Below are 10,964 nucleotides of genomic sequence, written 5' to 3' on the forward strand. Positions count from 1 at the left end.
CCTATGGAGCTATAAAGCTTTTCTTGACATAGCCAAACGGCTAGGAAATAATCAATTCTATTTATTTTTTCCTTCAAGGTACCCTTCTGTGAATCTTCCACCTTTTGTTCTAATTAGGGCCAACTGATGCTGTCGTCCTGGGAATTTTCCCATTCACCATCACTTTGCTAATTCCTTCACCTCTTTGCTTTCCTGTACTCAGGAGACATCCTTGGCAAAACTTAATGGTTGCTGGGTCATGATGAAATATTATAGGCATACTAGAGAAGCTGCTTGATTAAGTAGCCATCAGTTCGACAAAACAAAAAACAAAAACAAACAAAAGCTAATTTGTAGAGTTTTTTAGATAAAATTGTCCTGTGAAACTTCAAAATCAAGCTTCCTCATCTGTTCATTAATGCTGAGATCTTTGTTTTGTTCCTTCAGGTAAGGCAAATACCCGACATACAGGGATTGTTTAATAAACACTTTCTGGGTTTCTTGTTCATTCATTTAACGCCTTTGCCATCATGGGGTTTCCATTCCAGACAGGAAGTTAAATACATAATGTTAAATCAGGTCATGATTAATGCTACAAAGAAAATAATGTAGGGTAAGAGGTAAGAGAATGAGTGGGGATTGGAGAGAATGTTCAGGGAGGGCGCTCTTTGTGGAGGACAGATCAAGAAAGGCCTGTGTGGTGGCAGCCAGCTGGAGCCTAGCACTGCGGTCCAGATGAAAGATCACAGCCTCAACTAGTGTGGTCAAAGGGAGGATGGCGAGTGTTTGCTGAGGGACATATATGGATGGTAGAGCTGACAGTCTTTGCTGATAGATTGAACACAGAATGGCAGCAAAATAAAGGATGGCTCCAAAGTCTGTGCTGTCAGAATGAGCCCCTGAAGCTTTTAGAATGCACGGGGTGCCTGCGAGGGTGGCACATTTGGGAATCTAGTTGGCTCTGACTGAAGCTATGGAGAAACGTGGCAAAGAAGTGAGGAAGAAAGGATGCTGAGGCGGGCTTAGGAGGCCCTTTATTAAAGCCTGGCTGTGTTTATAATCGCAGGCAAGAAGGGAAGCTAATGTAGTAATTCAGAAGGATGAAGAGAACTAAATTGAGGAAATAGGTTTTCATTTTTATCAAGCAATTCATCATTGACTACGACTCCACATTAATTCAGCTCTACCCATAAAGCCAATTAAATTACCCCAAGAAATCAATAAAAACACAGGCAGGGTGGGGAAGACATTCTTGATGAACATTCACACGTCTTTTTTATAAGTATTTGGGAAGAGATTTCGGGCTAAAGGGGTGAAGCATGTTCCCTACATCACTGTAGACCTAGGAAACGAATTCTATTTCTCCTTTTCCCTCCATACAAGCAATCTAACTCCACAATGAAGATAGGGACAGCACATTCTCAGGGGAAATTGACATGGACAGTTCCTGGACTATAGCTCACTCCTATCTGAAGCTCTGAATGTTAACATCCAATGTAGGAACAGCTTTTAGCTTCAGAAATTCCACAGGCCAAAGAACAATGATAACCATTAAGAAGATTGCAACAGGAGCTTTTACCTCCACCCTCTTTTTCAAATACAAAGTTCTCTTGTATCTCTGAGTATCTGGAATGACCACATAGTTCTCCTATCTGAAATAAGACAGACACACAAAACAGGGTAATCTAGCTGACCAGAGAGTGCTGGGATAAACACAAAGCTCACTAAAACGGTTAGGGAGGGGAAAAGCTTATTCACATAGTTTTAACTTTTTTTTTTTTTTTTGAGACAGTCTCGTTCTGTCGCCCAGGGTGGAGTGCAGTGGCGTGATCTTGGCTCACTGCAACCTCCACCTCTTGGGTTCAAGCGATTCTCCTGCCTCAGCCTCCAGAGTAGCTGGGACTACAGGCGCCCGCCACCACGCCCGGATAATTTTTTGTATTTTTAGTAGAGACGGGGTTTCACCATGTTAGCCAGGATGGTCTCAATCTCCTGACCTCGTGATCTGCCTGTCTCGGCCTCCCAAAGTGTTGGGATTACAGACGTGAGCCACTGCGCCCGGCCAATGTTTGTATTTTTAGTAGAGACGGGGTTTCACCATATTGGTCAGGCTGGTCTTGAACTCCGGACCTCGTGATCCACCTGCCTCGGCCTCCCAAAATGCTGGGATTACAGGCATGAGCCACTGCACCCAGCCTGGTTTTAACCTGTTTTTTAATTAAAAATTTTATTTTACATAAATACACTTTTTGAAAATAATTTTAAGTTTCCATCAACGGCTTCCTTTGAGTAATGTGAACCTCACTTCCACATCTTTGCCAGGCCTCGACTTCCCCAACTCTCCCCTCCAGTGAGCCTGTTATCTGTCTGCAAATACTTTTAACGAGATACAATTTGTGTGGTTGGAAAGAATAAACAGCCCAGGTTTCAAGAGTCTGAATATCACTCTCTGGAGATTTTGAATGTATTGGCTCTATTTCTGACTCAGTTAAAAAAAAAAAGTACTGCCACTTAGGGTAGATGAGGTCATAGAAAGCATTCTGAACCTTCCCTGGCAGGTAGCAAATGTACGACAAACTGAAATTGCTATTTTGAAAGGAGAAGCAATATTTACATTTACATCCTTTCTATTTATCATTCTACCACATCCATCTATCATTACAGAGAATTCCTTCTTCTCATGTGAGGTTAAATTTCCAATCTCATACTTGATTTTTTCCAGGTCAAAAGTCTCATTCTCTTATATATGTTCCAATTTGTCGAGGCATAACTGAAATGCAAATTTACCCATGTTTTGCCGTTACCCACCTACGTGTTTTTTAACTTCCATGTACCATTGATAATATTTATCACATTCCAGTCAGAAAATCCGAAAAATCAAAGCTTCAAATTCCTTCCTTATTCCCTGTGAATTCTTATCTCCTCTCTATCCTGTAATTCCTTTTCCTGCTTTGTGCAAGATCAAAAAATTAACTGCAGTGAGGTCACTTACCTCTCTCCTTCTTTCAGCCCTACACAGACTATTTCAAGCTGACTGCCCTGCCTTTCCATTGAAGACAGAAGGAGCTGGTCTAGATTCCTATGAGCTGTGAGATTTCCTGAGCCTCTCCCGCTAATCCTTAACCCAGAAATGTATTCGTCATTTGGCTATAAAAAAACTCACAGCTTGACATCCCTGCACATGTAAGAGCACTTTTTCCAAGTTATAACTACAGAACAAAACTAGATATTCTACTTTATTGATACATTTGTTGTCCAAGGTACATTTACCATATACAAATACAGAGACATCTTTTCAGTGTAGTGAGGTAATCCCAGGCGTTCCATAGCACTGGAGGCCCCACTGGCCAAAGGCTTCCTAGGTCTACTTAGCTCAAATATCCAACTCTTACACTTTCTTTTTTTTTTTTTTTTGAGACAGGGTTTTGCTCTGTCACCTAGGCTGGAGTGCAGTGACTTGCTCTTGGCTCACTGCAGCGTCGATCTCCCAGGTTCAAGTGATCCTCCCACCGCAGCCTCCTGAGTATCTGGGACTACAGGTGTGTGCCACCATGCCAGGCTAATTTCTGTATTTTTTGTAGAGACAAGATCTCGCCTTGTTGCCCAGGCTGGTCTGGAACTCCTGGACTCAGGTGATCCTCCTGCCTTGGCCTCCCAAAATGCTGAGATTACAGATGTGAGTCACCATGCCTGGCCACTTACCGCTTTTATTTATTTATTTTTTTTTTGAGATGGAGTCTTGCTCTGTAGCCCAGGCTGGAGTACAATAGCGTGATCTTAGCTCACTGCAACCTCTGCCTTCCGGGTTCAAGCGATTCTCCTGCCTCAGCCTCCCGAGTAGCTGGGACTACAGGCGTGAACCATGATGCCCAGTTAATTTTTGTATTTTTTAAATAGAGACGGGGTTTCACCATATTGGTCAGGCTGGTCTTAAATTCCTGACCTTGTGATCTGCCTGCCTTGACCTCCCAAAGTGCTGGGATTACAGGCATGAGCCACTGCGCCCAGCCCACTTATCACTTCTTAAAGCTACTTCCAATTATACTTTGCCCAATTAACAATCTTCCTAATACAGCTGTTTCATTATAACTAATCCCTAGCACCATCAACACATTTTTACATTTAAACAGTAAACCGTACACTACACCAGAGCCACTGAACAAACCGCCTGTTGTTTTCTATTTCTTGCTTCTGCCAACTTTGCTGTTTGTCTTGGTTGGATATTGTAATCAACTAAGGAGCTTTGAAAAAAAATGATGCCTAGTTTTCAACCCCAAAGATTCTGATATAATTCTTGTGGAGATATGGTTTAGATATTAGGATTTATAAAAACTTCTCAGGTCAGCCGGGTGCGGTGGCTCACACCTGTAATCCCAGCACTTTGGGAGGCCGAGGCGGGCGGATCACGAGGTCAGGAGTTCGAGACCAACCTGGCCAAGATGGTGAAACCCTGTCTCTACTAAAAATAGAGGAAATTAGCCAGGCTTGGTGGCAGGCGCCTGTAGTCCCAACTACTCGGGAGGCTGAGGCAGGAGAATGGCGTAAACCCGGGAGGCGGAGCTTGCAGTGAGCCGAGATCGTGCCACTGCACGCCAGCCTGGGGACAGAGCGAGACTCCATCTCAAAAAAAAAAAAGAAAAGAAAAAAAAGAAACACGTGGGCCGGGCGTGGTGGCTGACGCCTGCAATCCAAGCATTATGGGAGGCTGAGGTGGGCGGATCACGAGGTCAGGAGTTTGAGACCAGCCTGGCCACTATGGTGAAACCGCGTCTCTACTAAAAAATACAAAAAACTAGCCAGGCGTGGTGGCGGGCGCCAGTAGTCCCAGCAACTCGGGAGGCTGAGGCAGGAGAATCGCTTAAACCCAGGAGGCGGAGGTTGCAGTGAGCCGAGATTGCGCCATTGCACTCCAGCCTGGCGACAGAACAAGACTCTGTCTCAAAAAAAAACTTAGGGGTAGAGCAATGTCTCTCAACATTTTCGTTACATTAGATACAAAACTGGTTAAAACCCCACAAGGCTATAAAATGAAAACCTTTGAGATGATCTTTTTCTACCAGACCGTCTACAGATTTTTTGGACTTTTTTCCTTAATCACTTCCTCCCTCATGAAATTTTACTACCACATACATACTGCATATGTTTATGGACTGGGCTCTTTTGGAGGGCCCTAGCCACAGTAATATATAAGACTTTTTTCACCTCTCATGAACCGATTTTTACCAATTGAACTCATGGGTTAGAAGTACAATCATGTGTGTGTCTCCCCAGTTCCTGAGAAATGCATCCTTAGGCGATTTGTCCTTGTGCAAATGTCAGTGTACTTACACACACCTGAATGGCACTGCCTGCTGCACCCCTAGGCCATATGGTATAGTGTAGCCTGTTGTCCCCCTGGGCTATATGGTGTAGCCTGTTGCCCCCCTAGGCTATATGGTGTAGCCTGTTGCCCCCCTAGGCTATATGGTGTAGCCTGTTGCCCGCCTAGGCTATATGGTGTAGCCTGTTGCCCGCCTAGGCTATATGGTGTAGCCTGTTGCCCCCCTAGGCTATATGGTGTAGCCTGTTGCCCCCTAGGCTATATGGTGTAGCCTGTTGCCCCCCTAGGCTGTGTGGTGTAGCCTGTTGCCCCCCTAGGCTATGTGGTGTAGCCTGTTGCCCGCCTAGGCTATATGGTGTAGCCTGTTGCCCCCTAGGCTATATGGTGTAGCCTGTTGCCCCCTAGGCTATATGGTGTAGCCTGTTGCCCTCTCTAGGCTACAAACCTGTACAGCAGGTTACTGGACTGCATACTGTAACACAATGGTTTTGTGTATCTAAACATAGAAAAGGTACAGTAAAAATATAGTATTGTAATCTTGTGGGACCACCATCATATATATGATCTATCATTGACCAAAACACTATTATGCAACACTTAACTGTATACATTTAGGGGTCACTGCTGAGGAGTTGATAGTTTTGGCTGTGGATATGAGGTTCACTTAGAAGTGAATGAGAAGTGAGATCCTAGGAAGGAACATGAAGTATTTACTACATATTTAAAAGGAAAGATGCATTTGGCACAATGGTAGGAAAATGAGGACAGTGCACATCCTATAGGTCAAGGAAGAATATATTAAGGATAAAGAGATTAATAGCATTGACTACTTCTGAGAGCTTGAGTAATATGAAATGGAAGTGGCCGGGTGTGGTGGCTTACACCTATAATCCCAGCACTTCTGGAGGCTGAGGCAGATGGATCACCTGAGGTCGGGAGTTTGAGACTAGCCTGACCAACATGGAGAAACCCCATCTCTACTAAAAATACAAAATTAGCTGAGCATGGTGGCACATGCCTGTAATCCCAGCTTCCTGGGAGGCTGAGGCAGGAGAATCACTTGCATCCGAGAGGCAGAGATTGTGGTGAGCCGAGATTGCACCATTGCACTCCAGCCTGGGAAACAAGAACGAAACTCCACCTCAAAAAAAAATAAATACATAAAATAAAATCAGTTGGATTTAGCAATATGGAAGCGATTAAGACCTGTAGGCAGAAAGAGACAGAAAGCAAATTGGACTGAACACAGGAATGGATAGCATAAACCAACACACACACCAGAGTGCATTTGGGAGGCCGAGGCGGGCGGATCACGAGGTCAGGAGTTCGAGACCAGCCTGGCCTATATGGTGAAACCCCATCTGTACTAAAAATACAAAAACTAGCCGGGCGTGGAGGCACATGGCTGTAAACCTAGCTACTCAGGAGGCTGAGGCAGAATTGCTTGAACCCAGGAGAAGGAGGTTGCAGTGAGCCGAGATCACGCCACTGCACCCCAGCCTGGGTGACAGAGCGAGACTCCGTCTCAAAAAAAAAAAAAAAAAAAAAAAAAAGGGAGATATAGTCTTTTTTTTTTTTTTTTGGAGACAACATCTCGCTCTGTCGCCCAGGCTGGAGTGCAATGGTGCAATCATAGCTCACTGTAGCCTCGAACTTCTGGGATCAAGTGATCCTCCCACCTCACTCTTCCCTGTAGCTGGGACCACAGGTGCAAGCCACCATGCCCAGCTAATTTATCTTTTGTAGAGACAATGTCTCCCTGTGTTGCCCAGGCTGGTCGCAAAGCCTTGGCCTCAAGGTGTCATACTGCCTGGGCCTGCTGAAGTGTTCATATTACAGAAGGAACCACCACGTCTGGCCTACATTAGCTTTTTAAAAGTTAATTTTAGAAGGTCCTGATTGAGGAATAGTTTCAATATTGAAAAGAGAAAACGAATCACCTATAGCAGGGGTAGGCAAACTGTGGCCCCTGTTTTTATAAAGTTTTATTGGAAGAGTAGAGCCACATGCATTAATGTAAGCACTGTCCTGGCTGTGTATGCACTAGAGCAGCAGAGTTAGTTTCAAGAGGGACAGTACGACCAATAAAGTCTAAGATATTAATTACCTAGTTTTTTACAGAAAAAGTTTGCCAAGCCCTGATCTCCAGGTGAGGATTTCCTAAAAGCCCTCAGGAATTTGGAGGAAATACAAGGTAGGAAAAAATTGGTTTATTGCAAGACAGAAGAAAGGAGAAAGAATAGGTGAAGGTGAATTTGCAATTTGTTGCTCAAAAGATGAGAAATGTTGACTGCTGGGCTCCTTGAAAGATTGATCATCCGAAAATCCTGTTGATCGAACAAAGCTTTAGAGCTTTGACAGAGTCAGGCTCTCTGTCATAAGCACACAACCTGACAGTCTTATCAGTGTGTCAGATGGAGAAAGAGGGGAAAGACACAGGGTCTGGGTTGGAAGGTTCAAAGGGGGTCTTGCAGGATGTAGAACTAGTTGGAATTGGAGTTTTTGGACATTATGAATGCATTTTTTAAAAATATGGATGAAAGGCTGGGCGAAGTGGCTCATGCCTGTAATCCCAGCACTTTGGGAGGCCAAGGTGGGTGGATCATGAGGTCAGGAGATGGAGACTATCCTGGCTAACATGGTGAAACCCCATCTCTATTGAAAATACAAAAAATTAGCTGGGCACGGTGGCACATGCCTGTAATCCCAGCTACTCAGGAGGCGGAGGCAGGAGAATCGCTTGAACCCAGGAGGCGGAGGTTGCAGTGAGCTGAGATCGCGCCACTGCACTCCAGCCTGGGCGACAGAGTGAGACTCCATCTGAAAAGAAAAAAAACAGATGAAAATGTATAGAATTATGACCAAAATATTTAACTAATAACTTAGTTATTATTATGATATTCACAAGGTAATTTCAATATATTAATTTTCTCTGTCTTAAATTCAATATTCGAAGATAATTAGCTGTTAACAAATAACCTGCAGCCTGACGAATATGGTGAAATCTCATCTCTATAAGAATACAAAAATTAGCCAGCTGTGTTGGTGGGCACCTGTAATCCCAGCTACTTGGGAGGCTGAGGCAGGAGAATCCTTTGAACTCTGGAGTTGGAGGTTGCAGTGAGCCAAGATCATGCCATTGCACTCCAGTCTGGGCAACAGAAAAATAAATAAGTAAGTAAATAAATAAATAGATAGATAAAACTTGGAAAGCCCTCACTACATGGGTACATTAGGAATTCCTGCACTTTGGAGAAAGAATGCTGATAATGGTTTAACAACGTTCTCTGATTTTTCAGTTTGCTACCCTCGTTTTTTGCTATTATTGTTGGTCTAGGTCAGGGTTTGTCAGCCTCAGCACTACTATGTTTTGAGCTGAATGATTCTTTGTGCGTCAGGCTGCGCTGTCCATCGCAGGATATACTGCAGCATCACTGGCCTCTATTCACCAGATTCCGGTGGCACGGCTCTTCTGGTGACAACTAAAAAATTGCTCCAGACATGGTCTAGCTTATTATAAACAATTTTATTTTTATGTTGTGGGTTGTATAGCAATGTTTGATCCAAAGTATTTATCTTAGCTTGAAATTTGCAGTAGCTAGACATGGAGATGTCTATTACTGGGTTTTGAACATTAATTATACATTTATTGCTAAATCATCTCACATTTCCCTTTATGAGTCATCATCATATTTTCTTAAAAAATTAGGTAAGGGTTTGAGAGCCATTGCTCTGAATTCTTTTTTTTATTTTTATTTTTTTGAGACAGAATCTTGCTCTGTTGCCAGGCTGGGGTGCAGTGCAGTGGTGCAATCTCAGCTCACTGCAACCTCTACCTCTACTGAATCGCTTGGGTTCAAGCGATTCCCCTGCCTCAGCCTCTCAAGTAGCTGGGACTACAGGGGTGCACCACAACCTCTGGCTAACATTTTGTATCTTAGTAGAGACAGGGTTTCACCATGTTGGCCACGATGGTCTCGATCTCCGGACCTCGTGATCTGCCGGCCTCAGCCTCCCATAGTGCTGGGATTACAGGCGTGAGGCATCGCGCTCGGTCTGCTCTGAATTCTTCATCCCAGTGTTTCAAATAATTGTCTCACTTCCAGCTCACTTATCTGACCTGACCCTGACTTTTCCAATAGAGCCATTTCCCCCAATTCTCCATGTGATTCAGCAACAAGATGTATTGTGACTTTTCCAAGTGTATATCTTTACCAGAATATACTTATTCACATCTTTTTTTTTTTTTTTTTTGAGACAGAGTCTCACTCTGTTGCCTAGGCTGGAGTGCAGTGGTGTGATCTCAGCTCACTGCAAGCTCCGCCTCTTGGGTTCACGCCATTCTCCTGCCTTAGCCTCCCAAGTAGCTGGGACTACAGGCGCCCGCCACCATGCCCGGCTAAGTTTTTGTATTTTTATTAGAGACGGGGTTTCACCATGTTAGCCAGGATGGTCTCAACCTCCTGACCTCATGATCCGCATGCCTCGGCCTCCCAAAATGCAGGGATTACAGGATTGAGCCACCGCGCCCGGCCTTATTCACATCTTTTAAAAGCACATTTTGAGAATTCGAAATGGTCAAAAATGTCTCCCCAAAAGATAGGTAAGCAAGATCCTACATCTTCCTTGACTCCCATGAGTCAACAGAGGCAATTTTCTGACATTTGCCTTTCGTTCCTTCCTCCTCTGCCCATCCTAAAGAACTTGGCCTCCATGAGCCAGAGCCCACCTACAGAGGGCTGTGTACATGATATGCTGCTTCTATTTTCTGTGGGAACTGACTTGCATTTTGAGAACATTTGAGTAAAACTGGACCACCGTTCCACCTAGTCATGCTCATTACAACTGATCCCTGTGCGACAGGAGTCAAGGCGGAGCTTGCTTTTTGATCTGATGACCGTCTCAATTTAATTCCTTCTCCTTGTCACTAGATATGTAACAGCAATGTCACTTTAGAAAAAACAAATCAGCTCTCTGAGCATCAGTTTCCACATGAGTAAAAAGATTAATGCACACTCATAGGTTGTTAAAAACATTAAAGGAGATAAAGCATGATAGAACTTAAACATAAAAGTCCCTATGTAGATACTTATTTTCTCAGCATTATACAACCATCCCTGAGCAAGGATGTAAGAGAAGGCATTTGCCTGTAGACCACCAAACAGAGAAAGAAGAGGGTGAACACCAGGCATCATCGGTATTACTTACCTGATTCAAACCATTACCTGTCGGGCTTCTTCTAATAAATCAAATTGTTCCTATCAGAAAGAGAGGTAGGCCGGGTGTGGTGGCTCACACCTGTAATTCCAGCACTTTGGGAGGCTGAGGCTGGTGGATCTCTTGAGGTCAGGAGCTCGAGACCATCCTGGCCAACATGGTGAAACCCCGCCTCTACTAAAAATACAAAAATTAGCTGGGCGTGGTGGTGGGCACCTGTAATCCTAGCTACTCGGGAGGCTGAGGCAGGAGAACTGCTTGAACCCGGGGAGGTTGTGATGAGCCAAGATCGAGCCACTGTACTCCAGCCTGGGCGACAAGAGCGAAATTTCGTCTCAAAAAAAAGAAAAAGAAAAGAAAATTTAAAAATATTCACATTTTCCACAACTCCTTCTTATCCACATAAAATATCTATATAAATTATTATTCTCTATTTGGAATAAAACAC

The 10,964-nt window shown here is 44.0% G+C and overlaps 1 annotated feature.

The window, feature by feature from the left end:
* Positions 1,249-1,830: an enhancer, noted in NCBI's record as "H3K27ac hESC enhancer chr4:189002377-189002958 (GRCh37/hg19 assembly coordinates)". NCBI's record gives its function as "activates a minimal SCP1, AML or CMV promoter by ChIP-STARR-seq in naive H9 embryonic stem cells {active_cell/tissue: H9 hESC(naive)}" and the evidence as "EXISTENCE:reporter gene assay evidence [ECO:0000049][PMID:30033119]".

Source organism: Homo sapiens, chromosome 4 (assembly GCF_000001405.40).
Source record: "Homo sapiens chromosome 4, GRCh38.p14 Primary Assembly".
NCBI lineage: Eukaryota > Metazoa > Chordata > Mammalia > Primates > Hominidae > Homo > Homo sapiens.